Source organism: Homo sapiens, chromosome 5, assembly GCF_000001405.40.
Source record: "Homo sapiens chromosome 5, GRCh38.p14 Primary Assembly".
NCBI classification, from domain to species: domain Eukaryota; kingdom Metazoa; phylum Chordata; class Mammalia; order Primates; family Hominidae; genus Homo; species Homo sapiens.
In genome coordinates, this window is record NC_000005.10 from 102,247,863 (window position 1) to 102,269,568 (window position 21,706).

The 21,706-nt window shown below is 34.2% G+C and overlaps 1 protein-coding gene across 4 annotated transcripts in view; it reads right to left on the bottom strand.

Annotated features, from left to right (window-relative positions):
- SLCO4C1 (solute carrier organic anion transporter family member 4C1) overlaps positions 1 to 21,706 on the bottom strand; it is a 62,299-nt gene that overhangs the window by 13,877 nt on the left and 26,716 nt on the right. For all 4 annotated transcript variants that reach the window (XM_011543370.3, NM_180991.5, XM_047417146.1 and 1 more), the window contains 6 exons: positions 15,822 to 15,918; positions 14,050 to 14,171; positions 12,351 to 12,457; positions 10,081 to 10,225; positions 9,253 to 9,448; positions 1,776 to 1,926 (listed from right to left, as the gene is read on the bottom strand). In XM_011543370.3, coding sequence (XP_011541672.1) covers positions 1,776 to 1,926; positions 9,253 to 9,448; positions 10,081 to 10,225; positions 12,351 to 12,457; positions 14,050 to 14,171; positions 15,822 to 15,918 — 818 coding nt within the window. The remainder of the gene's footprint in view (positions 1 to 1,775; positions 1,927 to 9,252; positions 9,449 to 10,080; positions 10,226 to 12,350; positions 12,458 to 14,049; positions 14,172 to 15,821; positions 15,919 to 21,706) is intronic.

The window sequence follows — 21,706 nt, forward strand, 5'->3', positions numbered from 1 at the left end:
AGAGCCAGAGAAATCAAAGAGAAGCAGTGCTTTCATTGTTCCAAAGGCCAGAAACTTTTTTTTTTTTTTTTTTTTTTTTGGTGCTAAAGCCATTCTAAGACCACTGGTACCAATTCAGGAAAACCAAATATGCAGATGACACCTCCAAAATTGACTATTACATATTCAGCAATCAGATATATCAAATAATGAGGTAATTCAGCCTTTAAAAATTTTAAGGAGAGAAACTGAGAACAGTATTTTCTATCCTAATGAAACTTTACCACTCTCATTTGCCTGCAATATAGCAGTTAGTCAAGGTCAGATTTTGTAGTTTGGGTCACTGGTGTGAAATATAAGATTAAAACTGTATTGCTGTGAACAAATGTATATGGGTGCTTATTAAAAGTATTATAAATGTATATTGCCTATCTGAAATATTTCATAAGAAAAATATTGTGGATCAATTGATTATTTCATGGACTGATTGGACATAAAAAAGTCAGGACAAATAGAAAATTTGCAAGTCAAAATCATTTGCTCTTCCTAAAAAATTCTAGAAGACAACTTGCTGTGTAAGATAGTAATTATCTTAGCATTTGGTGAAAAATATAAATATTAAATTAACCATATCGAAATAACAAAAACTATTTTAAGTATGCTCTGGGTATTAGATTTTCTGTGTTGTTCCCTTGTGCAGGATGGTATTTGTGTCTATATATATTTAGTTATGTGACTAAAACCCTTCCTAATAACTCCTTGTCATAATCTGCTTCTAATCAAAGTTAGTCAATAGCATTTATTGGTCATATATACAGAAAAAAATTCAAATATTCAAAATTGTCATATAACTCTTACACATCTTATTCATTGTTTTCTTTTATACCACAGTATATATTTCCCTTAGATCCTTTTAAAGTTATCACATTATCTACCAATGCATACTATACTGCGTACTACTCATAATCTGAATATTATTTATTTCCAAGGTTCTTAAGTTTAGCTAAGATGAAATATTTAGTTTCTAAGATATAGTACAGTAAAATTGTACTGAGTTCTTTTAAACTATTTAACTGTACAGAAAAGAAATAACATCTAGGCACACTGATTAGTATTCAGATCCAGAATTAAATATGAATTTGTATTTAAAAATAAATTGATTTGAATATTTTAAGTGTATTCATGGTATATCAAATAAAACAAATACTAAGTTTCTATTATATAAACTGTACCTAGTGAAAATAGGAAAACTCTCTTGCCTTCAAAGATCTTAAATAGTTAGGGAAAAATAAAATTGACCCTTGAACAACACAGGTTTGAACTGCACTGCTCCACTTACATGCGGATTTTTTTTTTCAGCTAAACATGGATCAAAAATACAGTATTCGCAGGATGCAAAACCCATATATACTGAGGTGCTGACTTAAAGCGAGTTCTTCAAGGCCATCGGCAGGACTTAAGTATGGCATATTTGGGTATATGCAGGGGTCCGGGAACCCATCCCCCATGTATTGTGAGGGATGACTATAAAACAATTTGAAAAGGTAAAAGATATTTCATAACTGCAACAAAGTGATGTTACTAAAATGTTTGTAACTTCCAAATTGATTTTTCAACAATAACTGCAAGAGGCATGAAGGAAAAAGAATCTATTTCAGCTGGAGACATCATGGGCTGCTTAACGGAGGCAATGGAGCAGGAAGGCAAGAATAGGCATTGCATAACCCCATTAGAGAAGTCAAGATAATCCACAAACATATTGCCTCATTAAGGGAAAAGTAGGAGACATAAGCTACCTTTGGCTTCCTGTGTGCAACTGGGTTTGAACAGCCTGCAAAGCAGGGAGAAAAATATTGGACTCCATCTCCACAGACAGGATAATAATATGATCGCGAACAGTTACAATTGGCATTACAAGGGGCTATCAAGTTTCCCAATTCTCCAGTCCTGTAAATAAGAAATGAAAGAAGGGTAAATGATCTGTCATAACTTTTAACTAACAATTTCGAAGCACTGTTATATCTTACCATTAGGTCATTTATTCACTCACTCAACACATAATTACTAAACAAATAAAACGTCTTCCTTTGCACATAAAGTTTAACTTCTTGTCGGAGAGAGGCAATAAAAACAATAGTCATATAGTATAGTATCTGTCAGTAATTTAAAATAAAAGGCAGAATAAGTGAAGAAGACAAGAGTTTCCCATCTGGCACCAGGTAATTCTCTTGTGGGGTTGGTTCTATGGACTATAGAATGTTTAGCAGCTTCTCTGACTTCCACCAGATACCAGTAGCACTCTCCTTCATTACAGCAACCAAAATATCTCCATACAGTGCCAAATATGTCCAGGATGCAGACAATATTTTAAACTTGGAAGGATGAACAAAATCATGCTGTTGAACATAATCATCTCATCAATGGGAAAACTGAGGTCCAGGGAGATTAAGTTACTTTTCTTTCCTTACCAAATATAATTTTCCCAGTCCCCAGGCTCAGTGTCATTGCAAGCTGCCTCTTAGAGAAAACATCTTCCCTAATATAAAGGGTTACACTAATCAAAAATGCATCCCTTATACCTCATTTATTTATTCATTCAAACAACATATATTGAGCAACTGCTAGACCCTATGCTGGGTAACGGGAATACAAAGCCGAATAAGACAGTCTCTGCCCTCAAGGATTTCACAGTTTAGAAGTAGAGAGGGACTTAGATAATTATTCAGTAATATGCTAAGTGTGGTTACAGATATCAGCAAAGTGCCTTTTAGAAGCACCAAGGAAGGACACCTAACACAAGCCAAAGTTTAGAGAAAAGGGGCTGGAGGAGCTACTGCCTGAGATGCGATTTAAAAAATGAGTAAGAGGCTGGTGCGGTGGCTTACACCTGTAATCCCAGCACTTTGGGATGCCAAAGCGGGTGGATCACTTGAGGTCAGGAATTTGAGACCAGCCTGGCCAACATGATGAAACTCATCTCTACTAAAAATACAAAAATTAGCTGGGCATGGTGGCAGGCACCTGTAGTCCCAGTTCTCGGGAGGCTGAGGCAGGAGAATCTCTTGAACCCACGAGGCAGACGTTTCAATGAGCCAAGATTGCGCCACTGCACTCCAGCCTGGGCAACAGAGTGAGACTCCATACAAAAAAAATCGTAAAAAATATATAAAGAATGAGTACAAGTAAGCCAGTCAAATGGGGAAGGGGAAACGTACTTCAGAAAAAGCTGGTACAAAGGCATAGGGTAGAGAAACAGCATCCTCTGTGGAGAAATATGAATGATGTCTGAGGCACAGAGTGATGGGAAATGTAGCTGGACAGGAGTAAAGGACCAGTTTAATTGAGAGCCACATGGGCCTGACAAAAGGTAATCGTTAAGGTATTTTTAGAATGGAAAGTGACACTGTCAAAAGTTCGTTTTAAAGAAGTAATTCTAGGAGTTGTACAGAGTATGAATTTGAAGAAAGGGGACCAGTTACAATACCCTAGACAGTAGGTGATGACAATATAAAGGAGAGCTAAGATAGAACATATGATGATAGGAAGCAGATTAAAGAAAACTTTTGGATGTAGAATCAGTAAGATTTGGTGATGGATTGGTTGAAGATGACTCTTCCTGTTAAAAATGGAAGAGGCTACTCAAGAGGCTTAGGCAGAAAAATCACTTGAGCCCAGGAGTTTGAGGCTGCAGTGAGTTATGATTGTGCCACTGCACTCTAGCCTGGGCAACAGAGTGAGATCCCATTTCCAAAAAAAAAAAGAATGGAAGAGTCAAAGGTGACTCCTAATATCTAACCTGGTGTTTAGGTACAGGAGAACAATGATGAGTATGGTATTGTAAGTAATAAGATTAAGAGTATCTCCAATTTGGTGGAGAAGAAATCTTGAATGGAGCTAGATTTCTTAATAACCATTTGGACATAGATGTAGCTGAAACCACGAACATTTATAAGATCAGTCATATAGTGTATGGAATGAGAAGGGTACTGAAGTCTTGGGAGTCCACTTATTTAATAAAGACACAATGGACACCAATTATGTGCTAGACTACTCAAGGTGGTAGAATTATATTTAAAAGAAAGAAGGAGCTAGAGTTAGAACTAGAAATGACAGATTGAGGGAGAGAGAGAAATGGATAGAAGGAACGGAATGAGGGAGTGAAGGAGAAAAGGAGAAAGAGGGAGGGAGAGGGAAGAAGGAAGGGAGAAAAGCGAGAAGGAAGGGAAACGGGGAAAGAAGGAAGGGAAGAAGGGAGGAAGGGAAGGGAAAGAGATAAGGAAAGGGAAAGAAGGAAAAGGAAGGGAAGAAGGGAGGGAGGAGGAGAAGCAAACCTCTGCCACCATGAAGCTAACTTCCTTGCATCAGGGGTCAAACACAGTAAATGAGTGATTTCTGTAAGTATTAGAAGATAACCGACACTGTGTTGGAAAATGATGACATACAAAGTAGGCGGAGAACAAGAAAGTCATGAAGAAAACAAATTAAAGAGAAAAAAATGACTAAATCAGTAGGGAGTCTGAAGGAAAGAGTGATCAAGATAGTAATCTGCCACTCTGCCTGCAGTCTCATCTTATTCAAATCTATTCCACAGATGCTGCCAGATTTATCTTTATCAAGTATGATGATAATATCAAGGGTTGATCACATTCACAAAAGCCATCACCAGAGTGTCCGCTCACAGAGCTCATAACATAGATGCAGAAATAAGACAACCAGAGAAAAACCATCCCTGCAACTCTAGAAATAGCCTTTACACAGCAATTTTTAAAGTTCCCAATATATAATTCTCATGTTATTGATAAATAATTACTGAGATCATACAAAGTATAAGACAGCATGATGCAAATTATAGTATTAACAAAGAAATATAGCTTATATTCCTTAATATCAAGGGGTGGTCACATTAGTCTACATATTTTACAAAGGTTTACTTCTTGAGGTAACTAGAAAGCTATTAGTAGAAAAACGGCAGATGCTTGTGAAGTTTATTAAATTTTCTTAGTGTATACATATTTAAAAATATTAAAATATCCTATTTTGAAATGTTTAATAGATTTAAAATATAATAAAATAAATGTGCATATATAAACATCTTTATGTTTGCCACAAGTAGAATTCAAACATTAATTTCTTAAATACAAAGTATTCTATAATTATGCCTCTATAACAGGCTAAAATTTCCCTAAAACTATTGCAAAATATTGATATGCCTCTTTAAGATGCTATTTCATATAATCAATAAAATTCTAGCTAAAGATCAGATACAGAAAAAAATACTGTGTGTATACACTATGGTATTTCTATATTCTATGAGGTTTTAAGTAAAACATGAATCATCATTACCACCACTGATCACCAAAATAAGACTCAAAGTTCCTATAGATTGTCAAGGCAACAAAAGAGCAGTGGGGAACAGTGGGAAAATAAACAGTATTCATGCAATCGAATTTAGTATTGTGCCCAATTAAAGATTTAATAATAAATTACTTTAAAATATTATTGAAAAATATCCTGACCATTATCTCAAGCAAATTAACACAGGCACAGAAAACCAAATACCACATGCTCTCACTTAAAAGTGGGAGCTAATCACTGAGTACTTATGGAATAAAGATGGCAACAATAGACACTGCAGATACAAGAGGGAGAAGAGAAGAAGTGGGGCAAGTGTTGAAAAACTATTAGCCAGGCACAGTGGCTCGCACCTGTAATCCCAGCACTTTGGGAGGCCGAGGCGGGTGGATCACCTGAGGTCAGGAGTTCAAGATCAGCCTGGTCAACATGGTGAAACCCTGTCTCTACTAAAAATACAAAATTTAGCTGCGTGTGATGGCACGCCTATAATCCCAGCTACTCGGGAGGCTGAGGCAGGAGAATTGCTTGAACCCAGGAGGCAGAGGTTGCAGTGAGCTGAGATCGTGCCACTACACTCCAGCCTGGGCGACCAAAGGAGACTCTATCTCAAAAAAAAAAAAAGAAAAGAAAAACTATTCAGTACTATGCTTGGTACCTGGGTAACAGAATCAATCATACCCCAAACCTCAGCATCATATAATATACCCAGGTAACAAATCTGCACATGTACCCCCTGAATCTAAAAGTTGAAATTATTTATATATATATATATCCCCTGATCTTACATTTTTTGGAAATGCTGTTATATTAAACAGGGACTTTCAAAGAACATATCAATGAACCTAATTCATTAATTCATGGATGCAAAATCTCTTTTTACCCATCTGTGCTTACCATGGCAAAAGTCAAAGATTCTTTGCACCCCTCTACTAGAAACCCTACATCCTCAGAACCTCTTCTGTCTCTCACTCCCTGAAAAGGTATTTCTTGAGCTTCTTAGTCTGTTCTTTCCATAGACAGGCTTACCTAGCTTTACTTTACTTTGTTTTATTGTACTTTGCAAATCTTGTGTTTTTTACAAACTGAAGGTTAGTGGCAACCTAGTGATAGTGATAGTATTCAGTAAGTCTATCAAGTGCCATTTTTCCCAGAGTACACGATCAGTTTATGTCTATTTCATATTTTGGTAACCTTGCAAAATTTCAAACTTTTTCATTATCATTTCTGTTATGGTGATCAGTGATTTTTGATGTACTATAATAATTGTTTCAGGACACCATGAACCATGCCCCTTTAAGAAGTAAAATTTAATCAATGAATGATGTGTGTGTTCTGACTGCTCATTATTGTCTTATTTTAAGAAGCTGCCACAACTACCCCAACCTTTGGCAACCACCACCCTGGTCAGTCAGCAGCCATCAACACTGAGGCAAGACTCTCTACCAGCAAAAAAATTACAACTTGCTGAAGGCTCAGATGATTGTCAGCATGTTTCAGCAATAAATAATTTTTAAATTAAGGTATATACATTGTACATTGCTTTTCTAGAAATAAGGTTATTGTATATGTAATAGACTACAGTATAGGGTAAATATAACCTTTATATGCACTGGAAAACCAAAATATCCACTTGAGTTGCTTATTGCAATATATGCTTTATTTTGGTGGTCTGGAAGCAAACCCACAATATCCTCAACATATGCCTGTACCTTTTCTTTTATACGTGTTTCTTAGATGAGACTAGTTTGACTGACCTGTTTGTAATATACACATTTTAATACTCAGTGTATAGAAGCTAAAACTAAGAATTTGGGGCCATGAGAAAAAAATGATCTGAAAATGTCACACCTACTTTGTGACATTAAATTCTGTTCCTATTTCTATTTATATCTATATACACACACATACATAAATATGAGTAAAAACATATACGTTTAGTGATATTTATGTGTATTCACTTTCAGTTTTTCTCATCACTAAGAAACATGTATGTGTATTAAACACTATATCCCAGATCTTAATATATCTTAATGGCCAACCCCTACGTGAACCTCAGAATTACCCCATCACACATGCCTTCCTTTCTGATTACACACCTGGACAGCACACCTGGTAGTAACTATTATTTAAGGTAGACAATATTAAATGGATTCACATGTACTTTGTTACTCAAGGTGATAAACTATGTGTTAAACTATCCAGAACTTCCTTTTTTTTCTAAAAGGAACATACAAAAAATGTTTACTGGGATAAGTTTGGGTGAAGTTTATAGGGGTGAAAGTCAGGTCTACACAACTTAACCTCTACCTACCTTTCAACATTCCAAAATATATTTCTACTATTTCTAGACACATAATCTAAGTTCCATTCAACCTGGTCTCTGAAACTAGCCTTCACATTTTATAGCATTTATAACCTTGGTTTAGCATATTCCCTCTCCCTTTCTCTCTTCTCAAATCTTTATTTCTCAAAACTCTTTGTATCCTTGAAGGATTTTTAAACCCCATTTCACTATTATGCTGTGAAGCCCTTCTGGATTCTAATCAAATAAAATTGAAAAGCTCACCTTCTTTTCAATTCCATAGCAATTTTTTTTAATCTCCCATTACCTAATTGACTATTTGTTCACTGTTTTCTTTTGCAATCTCTCCTTTAGAACAGGTATTTTGCCAAGAAGATCTGCCAGAGGAAGCATTCAACAAATGTTGAACAAATGTAATGGAGCTTGGCCGGGCGCGGTGGCTCACACCTGTAATCCCAGCACTTTGGGTGGCCGAGCCAGGCAGATCACTTGAGGTCAGAAGTTTGAGACCAACCTGGCCAACAGGGCGAAACCCCACGTCTACTAAAAATACAAAAATTAGCTGGTCATGGTGGCATGCGCCTGTAGTCCCAGCTACTCCAGAGGCTGAGACAAGAATCATTTGAATTCAGGAGGCAGATGTTGCCGTGAGCCAAGACTGTGCCACTGCACTCCAGCCTGGGTGACAGAGCAAGACTCTCTGTCTAAAAAAAACAAAAAAAGAAAAAAATGTGATGGAGCTTAACTAAACACTGCTTTAGAACACTCAGCATTAATGTAAAAGAATCACAGATATATTAGCAGCAACTACAAATCATGATGATTGTCATTGGCAAACTTTTCTGAGCAAAGTAGATTATATTTATATCATCTATATGTCATATTATACAAAATTATGGAGTCCTTGACCTAACGTACCACTTTCCTTGACAGCCTCAAACACATGTAATGAAACAATTAAAGCAGCACTGTGAGGTATAAAATGCACTGCTGTGCAACACCCTCCTGCCTGACCACCTACTTATGGCTTAAAATTTCAAAGCAAAACAAAAAAGGAAAACAAAGAAATATAAATGGTTGAATCAGTTATAGCTAGAAACATGTCTACAGGTGAGAACAAGTTATTTATTTATTTACAATAAACATAAACTTCTAAGTAGATACAATAATGGTAAGTATTAGCAAGGACTAGCTTTATTCTAATTTCTCTTCTTGTCTGTTTGCAACCAACCTAATAAGATAATTTTTATCATAATTATGGAGTTATTTCCATTTCTAAAAACTTAAATCAATAAAAGCATATAATGTGAAATTCTCCCTAGGATGTGAATCGCTTAGAGGCAAAAATCCTACAGTATTAATCTTTGTATCACTGAGGAAGTATAGTGCCCAGTATATGAAAGTTGCTCCTTAAATGTTCTTTGTATAAATATCCCCAACTTTTAAGAAGACATCAATTATCTAAACTAAAAACAAAACCACATGTTCTTACATAGGAAAAAAGGTCTTCCAAATTTTTAAAAAGCCAATTTCTCACCATTTAAGAAAACATATGCTTGGAAATGCTTAGTCTATTATTCTGGTATTAATATCAAAAAGCACTGAATTGTATTTACCCATTATATGATTCAGATACACCAGCAAATGGCTCATTTTCACATTTGGCATACATAAATACAAAACTCAGCGTAAGTGCAACTCCAGATGTGAACAGTGCAAACTTCATTGTGTTTTTACATGTCATTCTGAATTTTGAAACAAGGAAGCCACCTAAAATTTGACCGAGAGCAGCTCCAGGAATTAAAACAGCCCCTAATAAGAAAAAAGAATGTAGATTGTGAGAAACCATACACATATACTCACTCATACTGACAACTGGAAAACATCAAAAACAAGTGTCAATATGGTTTTAACTTATATTTATTCACCTGATATAGAAATACATGTACAAATGACTTAAAGGTCCATCAAGTAGGGAATTAGTCAAATTAATGTATTGAACATTAAGATTAATATATGTTCTCTTTAGGAATTTTAGCCTTTGTCTTTCTCTAGTTCATACAAAAGATTGCCTAATGTCAGAAAATCAGAAATTTTTACCAAAATTAAGTTTAAGTGTCTTTTTTTTTTTTTTTTTAAAGACAAGATCTCATTCTGTCACCCAGGCTGGAGTACAATGGCGCAATCTCGGCTCGCTGCAGTCTCCACCTCCCAGGTTCAAGTGATTCTCCCACCTCAGCCTCTGAAGGACCTGGGACTACAGGTGCGTGCCACTATGCTCGGCTAATTTTTATGTTTTTTGGTACAGACAGGGTTTCACCATGTTGGCCGGGCTGGTTTTAGTTTAAATTTCAAGGAGGGCTACCTCAAATTATACACTATCCTCATAAAAATTTAATATAGTAAAGTAAAATTTTTAGGTTAAGATAAAGAAAATGTTTTACCTCCAAGAGTAGCTGCGAAGCTGGATGTCAATCCGAATTGATTTTCTATAAATTTAGGTAAAAATGTAGCAAATCCAGTAGTAATTAAGGCTTCTGAAGAAGTTGATAGAACTAAACACATAAAGACAGCATTCTTCATCAAATTCTAAAGAAAAAAATACAGTTCCTCAAATGAATAGCTATGATTGTATTGCAAAGTACAGAATTAGAAGGTTAGCATGATGAAATAACAAAATTTTACAATCATCTGTAAAATTTCAGCATTTCCTCCAAAACAAAAATATAACTATGGATAATTAATAGAATTACACATACATGATGAGAAAATTTATATGTGGAAAACCTAGAAAATTGATAGATAATTCCTCAACATGGTGGTTATGCATTTATTGCATTCCAAGGGCTATGGAAAGAAGGTAAAAGCCTTCTTGGAAAAGTTCCCTTCCCCAGTGTTACTGTAAATCTCCACACTATAAATCTACCACCTATTTGATATTTTATTGTGTTCTGAATTCCTATGTACAGTAAAGAAAGAGTTTAAGACTATGAGCAGAGATGAGAATGGTCTCTAAGTATCAAATTAATAGTATGGTTCCATGATTACACTCAGCAATTAAGCACTTTAGAAACACAGTTAAGCAACTTTAAATAGGTGTCTATATGGCTAGACCTCTCATAATCTTATTTATTGACAGAGGGTAGTATGGAGGTTAATTGTGTTAATACATTTAACCACAAAATGAAAACCAAATTATAGTTCTCAAATATTAAATGCCAAAAAATTTTTCATAAAACCAAGCAAAACACAAACACACACACACACCACACACACACGGAGTCACAAAGGAGCAAGATGGGAGCTTTAGAAGTCAGAGCCACATAGACTGACAAAAGGAGGAAAAAGTACCTAAAAACATGCAATAATTTAAAATAATTAATAATAATAAAAATAGCAATATTTTAAAAAATTGTCTTCAGATTGAAAATAATCAAATCTTGAGAAGAATTAATGAAAAAAGACATATACTTCAGCATAACTGAGTAAATTTCCTGTAATCAAAGATAAATGAAAAAACTTACCAACATAAAGATGAAAAGAATAAGTCAGAATCGCACTAACATAAAACTTCTCAAATACAACACAATTAAGTAGAAAAGAGCAAACAATATCCACAGACTACTGGGATTAAAGAGGAATGATCCAAAAGTATTCACCTAGTAAAATATATTATTCAGACATTCAAGGATATCTAGGTGGTATCCTATCTAAGGAAAACCAACAAGAAAATGTTGAATTCATAGAGATTGAAATCAGAATAGAGAGATCTCTAAGCAGGAGGACACAAGGACAAAAAAAAGTAATGGTCAGTAATGACTCTATATGGTAATGTAAATTAAAATTTATAAGATAAACTAAACAGGAATAATGAAATAGAACAGAACTACTGTAAGAGAAAATAACAGTAGTTGCAATTAAAGCATGAACAATATCAGCAAAACACAAGAATGTGCATGTATGGTGTGGAGAGTTGAAAGATGGGCTGAGTGGAGAAGTAAAAACATTTTAAGGCTTTTATTTGACAAGAAACCAAAAACAATGAAAAGCAAACAATTTCACATCTTGAAAAGGTAAAATTATAAAGTCCTTTATGAATAAAACTTTTATAACACTAAATAGAAAGAATACTTTTCTGCTGAGTACAACTTAATGGACCATAACACTTTTGTTCTTTAGCCTCGAATTCAAAAGAAGTTACCACTAACCACCTCTTTCACAAAAGAAAAATATTGTTTCAGAATTCTCAAATATATTTACAATTCAGTGATAATTGACTAATCAATTTCATAAGGAAAATGTCATGGAATAATGGGCTATTAGTGTTAACAAGGAACCACTGAATATGATATTGCCAATAAGACAACTCATGCTCTTTCAACCATTCTACCCTGCAATAGTTTTCATTTACTCAAAAGACAATAAAACTGAATCCAAAGAGTTGTTTATAAGAGCTCAAATTGTAGTAAACAAGCAAACAAAATGCTACTATGAAAAGATGGCATGTGTGTTTGCATGTGTGGGTATGTGTTGGTGTGTGTGGGTTTATGTGGGTGTTTATATGTATGTATACATGTGTGGTTGTATTTGTATATATATATGTGTGTATATATAATATATAAACACATCTACACATATGTACATGTGAGGTGTGTGTGTGTATATGTGTGTGTGTATGAGACTGAGAGAGAGACAGAGAAGAATTTTATTTTACCTTTAGAGCAGCTGGAAAATCTTTAATACTTTTTCCAAATTTCACATCTGCATTACTATTACTCTGATGAGCCTGGGAAGTTTTTCCAGCTTGAATTTCTGCTGTACCTAAAAAAAAAATATATATATATATATAATATATATATTATACATATAATATATTATATGTATAATATATATAATATATAATAAGTAAACGTGCTCTATCATTTTATTCTTCATGTAAAAAAAGTGCTTACTTTTTAACCGACACATACTTCCACTAGTATATAAATTCTATAAGAGGCTAGTTCTTCTGTTAATAAAATTGTTCAAATATGTAAATATCCATGTCTGTAATCAGGATGCCCCAAGAACTAGTATTCATTATTACTAGCTAAGGAAGTTCCAACCAGTCTAAACATTAAAATGAGACAATTTTGCTCCAATCACACATCTATGCTTTTCATTTAAAATCTCTTAACATTTTTTTCTTCCTTTCAAATGGTTCTCTTTTTGATCTTTTACATTAAAGTACTTTTGTGGCTTTTTTCCTCTGCTCTCTTAATCCTAACATGCTTGACAAATGAAATATTTGCCATCTTATTACCATGTCCCTTTGATTTTTAATAATGGTACTGCCAACAAATTTGAGAAAACAGTTAACATATGGAACTATAAATGAATGGCTCAGGGTAGAAAGAAATTAACGCGTCTACCTACTCAGTCTGTCAGATTGTCTCTTGCCCATTTCCAAAAGTTAATAATCTATCCTGCTGCAAATAACAATGTAAACAACTAAATACCTTCAACCTAAAGAAAAATACTTCTACAGATATGAATTTTAACTACATGATTTTACAGAAGCAAGAGCTCATAGAGAAAAATGAATAGTCTTTCTTATTAACCTTTTCTTTTTATATAGAATGTTTAGTATTCAAGCCGGATGTGGTGGCTCATGCCTGTAATCACAGCACTTTGAGAGGCTGAGGCAGACAGATCACCTGAGGTCAGGAGTTCGAGACCAGCCTGGCCAACATGGCAAAACCCCATCTCTAATAAAAATACAAAATTAGCCGAGAGTGGTGGCACATGCCTGTAGTCCCAGCTACTCAGGAGGCTAAGTCAGGAGAATTGCTTGAACTCGGGAGGCAGAGGTTGCAGTGAGCGGAGATCGTGCCACTGCACTCCAGTCTGGGCAACAGAGGGAGACTCTGTCTCAAAAAACATAAAAGAAAGAAAGAAAATAATGTTTAATATTCACATACAGTAAAAAAAAAAAAAGTACGCTACGGAATGACTTCAGTGATAACTTAAAAAAAAAAGTACTTGCACTTTTAACTACAAATAATTAACATGAATGATTTAAGACAGATTGAAATTAATGACTAACTGAATACAAACTAACAGTTTAAAAGACGTTGTACCTTGCATACACATAAAGCAGAATTGCAGATAAAACATAAGAAACAAATTTATTAAGTACTAAAGAGGTAAATATTCATAGTTTTATTATTAATTGGAAATTAAAAAAACATGAATATTAAGATTGTTACCCAATATTTTCTAGAATGAAGAATATTCAAAAGTTTACATAGGCAGACAGTTGAGATTCTATAAAAGAAACAGGGTGAATCTATAGTTCTTATTAATCATATAGAAAATAGCAACTGGCCTACAATTAAAATAAACCTCTCTGGTTTTAAAGAAAGCATGTTTACCTGGTAAATGTTTTGGAAAGCAAGAAAAAGGTATTATTAAAGACCAAGCAAAGATCCATGATAGAAGAAACCCAATCCACCAAGCTCCCAACCATCGCGGATCATCCTCAGTGACATCAGTGCTATATGATAGAAAAACAAGAGGTAAAAGTCAACTCTACCTTATTAATTAAAACTCAGTTAGGATAATCATATACTTTATACTTCAAGTGCATATAGTAGAATATGATTATAATATCCAACAGTTTAATGGTGCCATTGCAAAGAATCAGAAAACAGGTAGCAGACATAATTGAGAGTTATAAGAATAATGGTTTACAAAATGTTTAAAAATGGCAAATATGACACAAAAGTTTAAAATATCTAATAGTAAATATGACAAATATTTGAAAAGATATGTAGAATTTCTCAACATTCTTTTAACTTTGGCTGAATTTTCTTCTCTACTGTATTAAATTAAATATATATCACAGCAAATCACTGATCTGTGTTAAAAGTCCAGAGTGTGCTTCAATTAGAGCATTTCTTTAATGTAAAATTAGTCTTAAAGCAACTATTTATTTGTCTATTTATTTCTTTGAAACAGGGTCTCAGTCTGTCACCCAGGCTGGGGTGCAATTGCATGATCATAGTTCACTGCAGCCTTGAACCCCTGGGTTCAAGTGATTCTCCCATTTTAGCCTCCCAAGTAGCTGGGACTTCAGGCACAAGCCACTCCTGGCCTCAAGTGATCCTTACACTTTGATATCCCAAAGTGCTAGGATTACAGGTATGAGCCACTGTGCCGAGCCAGGAGTCTCATATTTTAATACACTTTGGCCCTTTCCGAAAATACACTAATCCTACAACTCCTGTAATTTTCCACTGAAATTAAAATGTCCTTTCTTAAATCTCTGGGTCACTAATTCAAGAGTTCTTCTGCATGCCTTTTTATAGGCTGTGAAAGATTAACCTAGGACTAACAGTTTAGAGAACAAATCACATACCTATGACCACATTTTTATATTCACTGCTCATGGTCATGTAGAGGATTGTGCAGTTATTATTCCCAGTGGCAAAATGAAAAAAAATATGACCTCAGTAAAGGCACAAATTTCTCTAATCAGGAAATGGAGAAGGTAAGTAACTCAGTGTTGAATTTTGGAGTCAAAGAGATCTACTTTAATTCATGTCTTAGCCACTTACCAACCTGTGCGTATCAACTACTTTGCAGAATACTTGAGAGGATTAAATAAGATAGCACATAAAATAAGTTAACACTCAAAACATATGGTGTCTGGTATATAGCATAGGACAAATAAATATTATCTATTACTATCTTTCATTGTCATCATTGTTAAAATGGCATAATTGTGATCTCTGACATTATCAGAGTTACTATGGAACATTTTCTGAGAATCACAGACTCTTGAGACTCTTCAGACTATCTAGTCCCAACTAAATCTATGGAAAATACTGCTAATTTTTATTGAATTCTTATTTTTGAACAATGCATGGGGTCCTACATACTTATTTTTAAAAATTTCACCAGATGACTTTATTAAATATTATTTATGAAAATATGTTATTATAATAAAAGATGGTATAGCACTGACCCAAAAGGTAATGCAGCCAAATAAGATATTATATAAGAATTCTTTGTATTCAATTTTGTTTCCTGAATAATTCCTCATGCTATACTGAGGGAAGTACTGTGAAAATGTTCTGTCTATGATGCTGGCATAATTAAAATAAAATGACTTTAAATAAAAGAAAAATAGATACTGCCTTGCCTTTCTCCCATAGCAACATCAATGTATATGGTTAGCAGTTGTCCTCCCAATACATAGCCAATAGCAGGGCCTAAGATTGACATAGCATAACCGGTTCCTAGAAGAAGAACAGAGACATTGAATACAGTCATATGTACAACTTCACTTTGCATATCTAACAGTGAAAACAAATATTTTACTACAGAAAAATCTAAACAATTAAACATATCAAAATCACACATATTTTCACTAAAACAATACCATTTGAATTGATAGTCAAGTCAAAAATCCTAAAACACATAACTCAATATAAAAGCTATTTGTAGTAATACTTAGAACAAAACCAAAAATTATAAATCCATGGAAAGTGTTGTTAACTGGCAGTAGAGGTAGTATATCTACCATTTATCCTTTACTGATAGTGATCATAGTTACACTTTACAATATCATGAAGAAAACAATGCAAGCAATGTGAAACAAGAAGTCTTTTCTACTCTGCACAACTCAGACAGAATTTTGTATTTTGCACTACAGCAGCTGACTTCAAATCTGGATGTGCTGATCAGTCTATTTCTTAAAAGTAAGCCATTAGATTTCTTGCTCTTAGGGTAGGGACTCTCCCTATTTTTACTTGCAGTAGAATTAAATTGAGCTTATTTCTATCTGTGAGATATTTAAAATGTTGCCATATATAACTCTGAATTTTCATAAAACAAAAGTTATTTGACCACTCATGTCTTTTTATTGTTGTTGTTGTTGCTGTTTATTTAAGCTCCCAAGTATTTTGGGGAGTCAGTTGAATATAGTTTCACTTTTTTTCCCCTTTTTTAGTTGACACATAACCATTGTACAGATTTAGAGTGTACATGGTTATGTGTCAATACATCTATACAATGTGTAATGATCAAATCGTAGTAATTAGCACACCCATCACCTCATACATTTATGACTTGTTTATGTTGGGAACATTCAACATCCCCTCTTCTAGCTTTTTGAACATATACAATGAGTAATGGTTAACTATATTCAATCTACAGTGCTATATAGAACACCAGAATTTATTTCTCCTAACTGTAGTTTTCTATCCATTAACAAATCTCTCCATATCCTCCCCTTCCCATATCTTCCCCAGCCTTTAATAACCGTAATTCTATTCTCAAATTCTATGAGCTGATATTTTTTCTTTTTAGCTCCCACATACCAGTAAGAACATGCAATATTTATCTTCTGTGCCTGACTTGTTTCATTTAACAGGATGTCCTCTAGGCTCACCCATGTTACTATGAATGACAGGATTCTTTTTTTTTTATGGCTGAATAGTATCCTGTTGTATATACATTTCGCATTTTCTTTATTCATCTGTTGACGAATATTTAGCTTGATTCCATCTCTTAGCTATTGTGGGAAGCGCTACAATAACATGGGGACACATGGTGGTCATCTGTATATCTTATTTTGAAAAATGGCTATATAGATTCTTTGCTTATTTTATAATTAGATTATTTGGACATTTTGCTGTTGAGTTGTTAAAGTTCTTTATATATTCTGGAAATTAGACCTTTGTTGGATGAACAGTCTGCAAATAATTCCTCCTGTTTTATAGGTTGTCTCTACAATCTGATGATTGTTTCGTGTGCTGTGCAGCAACTTTTTAGCTTGATATAGCCCCATTTGTCTAATTTTGTTTTCGTTGCCTATGCTTTTGCAGTCTTAGCCATATAATCTTTGCCTGGAACAATGTACTAAAGTGTTTCCCCTATGTTTTCCTCTGGTAATTTTATAGTTCTGAGTCTTACATTTAAGTCTCTAATCCATTTTGAGTTGATTTTTGTATATGGTGTGAGATAGGGGTCTAGTTGTATTCTTCTGCATATCAATATCCAGTTATTACAGCACCATTTATTAAAGAGTCCCCAGTGTATATCCTTGGTATCTTTAGCAAAAATCAGTTGGCCATAAATACATAGATTTATTTCTGAGTTCTCTATTCTGTTCCATTGGTCAATGTGTCTGTTTTGATACCAACACCATCCTTTTTTGATTACTAAAGCTTTGTTGTATAATTTGAAATCAGATAGTGTGATGCTTTCGGTTTTGTTCTTTGTGCTCAGGATTGTTTTGGCTATTTGGCATCTTTTCTAGTTCCGTATGAATTTTAGGACTGTTTTTCCATGTCTGTGAAAAGTGACATTGGAATTTTGATAGGGATTGCATTGAATCTGTACATTGCTTTGGGTAGTATAGACAGTCATTTCAACAATATTCACTCTTTGAATCCATGAGCATGGGATGCCTTTCCATTTTTTTTCTGTTTTCAGTTTCTGTCATCAGTGTTTTGTAGTTTTCCTTTAAAGATTCTCGCCTCCTGGGTTAAATTTGTTCCTATGTATTTCTTTGTAACCATTATAAATGATATTACTTTCTTGATATATTTTTCAACTAGTTCATCATTGGTGTAAAGAAATACTACTGATTTTTTTAATGTGACTTTGTACCCTGAAACTTCACTGAATTTATTTAATAGTTCTAAGAGTTTTTTGGTGGAGTCTTTAGATGTTTTTATGTAAGACTATGTCATCTGTGGAGAGAGACAATTTGGCTTCCTCTTCTCCAATTTTGATGTCCCTTATTTCTTTCTCTTGCCTAAGTGCTCTGAATAGGACTTCCAGTACCATGTTGAATAAGAGTGATGAAAGTGGGCCTTCAGCCAGGCCTGGTGTCTCACACCTGTAATCCTAGCACTTTGGGAGGCCGAGGTGGGTGGATTATCTGAGGTCAGGAGTTCGAGACCAGTATGGCCAACGTGGTGAAACCCTGTCTCTACTAAAAATACAAAAATTAGCCAGGTGTGGTGGCAGGTGCCTGTAATCCCAGCTACTTGGGAGGCTGAGGCAGGAGAATCACTTAAACCCAGGAAGCAGAGGTTGCAATGAGCAGAGATCGCACCACTGCACTCCAGCCTGGGTGACAAGAGCGAGATTCCATCTCAAAAAAGAAAAGAAAAGAAAAGAAAAAAAACAGAAAGTGGGCTTTCTTGTGCTTCAGTTCTTAGAGGAAAGGCTTTCAGCTTTTTCTCATTCAGTATAACGTTAGCTGTGGGTTTTCCATATACGGCCTTTACTGTGTTGATGTACGTTCCTTTTATACCTAATTTCTTAAAAGTTTTTATCATGAAGGGATATTGAGTTTCATCAAATACATTTCTACATCTACAGAGATGATCATGTGATATTTGTCCTTCATTCTGTTTATGTGATGTATCATATTTATTGATTTCCATATGGCAAACTAATTCTTGCATCACTGAGATCAATTCCACTTGAACATGGTGTATTATTTTTTGATGTGCCATTGAATTTGGCTAGCTATAATTTTGTTGAGGAATTTGTATCTATGTTCATTAGGGATATTGGCTTGTAGCTCCTCTTTACATTCTGTTTTTCTCTGGTTTTGGCATCAGGGTAATACTGGTCTCAGAATAAGTTAGGAAGAATTCTCTCCTCTTCAACTATCTGGAATAGTTTGAAAAGAACTGGTGCTAAGTTCTTCTTTACAAGTTTTATAGACTTCAGCAGTGAAGCCATCCAGCCCTGGGCTTTTGTTTCATAGGAGACTTTTTATTATTGATTCAATCTCATTACATGTTATTTGTCTGACCAAGTTTTCTATTTCTTCCTGGATCAATCTTGGTAGGTTGTATGTGCCTAGGAATTTATCCATTTTCTCCAGGTTTTTCAATTTGTTGGATGTATTTGTTAGTAAGACTAACAATCCTTTGTTTTTCTGTGGTATCAGCTGTGATGCCTTCTATTTTGTTTCTGATTTCACTTATTTAGGTCTTCTCTCTTTTTTTAAGTCTAGCAAATGGCTTTATTTTATCTTTTCCAAAAAACCAATTTTCATTTCATTGATCTTCTGTAGTTTTTTTTTTTTTTAACTCTTGTAACTCTTGTTTAGTTCTGTTATAGTCTTTATTATTTCTTTCCTTCTAATTTTGGGTTTGTTTGTTCTTGCTTTTCCATTTCCTTGAGGTACATCATTAGGTGGTTTATTTGAAATCTATTTTTATGATGTAGGTGTTTATTGGTATAAAATTCCCTGTTAGCATTGCTTTTGCTGTACCTCATAAGATTTGGTTTATTGTATTTCTAATTTCATGTAATTCCTTCTTAATTTCTTCATTGGCATATTGGTTGCTCAGCAGCATGATGATTAATTTTCATCTATTTGTATAGTTCCAGAAGTTCCTCATTATTGATTTCTAGTTTTTTTTCACTGTAGTCAGAGAATATACCTGATATATTATTAATATTTAAAAGTTTTTTGAGACTTACTTTGTGGCTTCATATGGTCTACCCTGGAGAATGTTCCATGTGCTGAAAAGAAGAACATGTATCCTGTAGCTGCTGGATAAAATGTTCCGTATATACCTGTTAGGTCAATTTGGTCTATACTGAAGTTTAAGTGCAATATTATTCACTGATTTTCTGCCTAGATGATCTTCCCAGTGCTGGAAGTGGGGCATTAAAGTTCCCAACTGTTATTATGTTGGGGTCCATTTCTTTAACTCTAATAATATTTGATTTATATATGTGCATGCTCTGGTGTTGGGTGCATATTCGATTATAATTGCTATATCTTCTTAGTGAATTTATTTTTGTATTCTTGGTGAATTTGTAATTGTAAAATGATATTCTTTGTCTCTTTCTTGTATTTTTTGACTTAGACTATTTTGTCTAATTTAAATATAGCTACTGCCACACCCTTTTGGTTTACAATTACAACTAAATATCTTTTTTATCCCTTCACTTTCAGTCTAAGTGTGTCTTTACAGTTGAAATGAGTTTCTTCTAGGCAGCATATGGTTAGATATACTTTCTTAATCCATTCAGCCTATCTATATTTTTAATTAGGGAATTTAAACTATTTACATTCAAGGTTGTTATCATTGATAATTGTTTTCTGATTGTTTTATATATCCTTTGTTCATTTCTTCCTCTCTCGTTCATCTTAGTAGTTTGGCAGTTTCCTGTAGTGATAACATTTGATTCCTTTCTTTTTCTTAAGTATCTTCTCTGCCATTGAGTTTTATGCTTTCACTTGTGTTCAGGGTGGTAATTATTGTCCTTTTGCTTCCAGATGTAGAACTCCTTTAAGCATTTTTTGTAGGGCCGGTCTAGTGATGATGCACTCCCTCAATTTTTGCTTGCCTGGGAAATACTTTATTTCACCTTTATTTCTGAAGAATAGCTTTGCTGGATATAGTATTCTTGACAGACAGCTGTGTCCCTCCCACCCCCAGACCCCTGCCTTTGAGCATTCTTAAATATATCATCCAATTGTCTCCTGACCTGTAAGGTTTCTGCTGAGAAATCTTTCTAATGGGAATTCCTCCATATGTGACTTGACGCTCTTCTTTTGTTATTTTTAGAATTATCTTTGTCTTTGATTTTTGCCAGTTTGAATATAATACACCTTGAAGAGGACCCTTCTGGGTTGAATCTATTTGGGAATCCCTGAGCTTCCTGTACCTGGATGTCTAATTTCTCACCCACAATTTGAGATGTTTTCAGCATTATTTCATTATATGGATTTTCTATACCTTTTCCCATTTCTTCTCCTTCTGAAATTCCTAAAATTCAAATATTTGTATACTTAATAGTGCCCATATGTCACATAAGCTTTCTTTATTTTTTTTTTCATTTTGTTTGCTGTGTTGTTTGACTGGGTTATTTCAAAAGACCGCTCTTCGTGGTCAGAAATTCTTTCTGTTTGATCTAGTCTATTGTTAAAGCTCTCAACTGTAATTTTTCATTCAACTACACTTGTAATTTCATTCATTTAATTCATCAGTTGCATGATTTCTATTTGGTTATTTTTAATGACATCTATCTCTCTTGAATTTC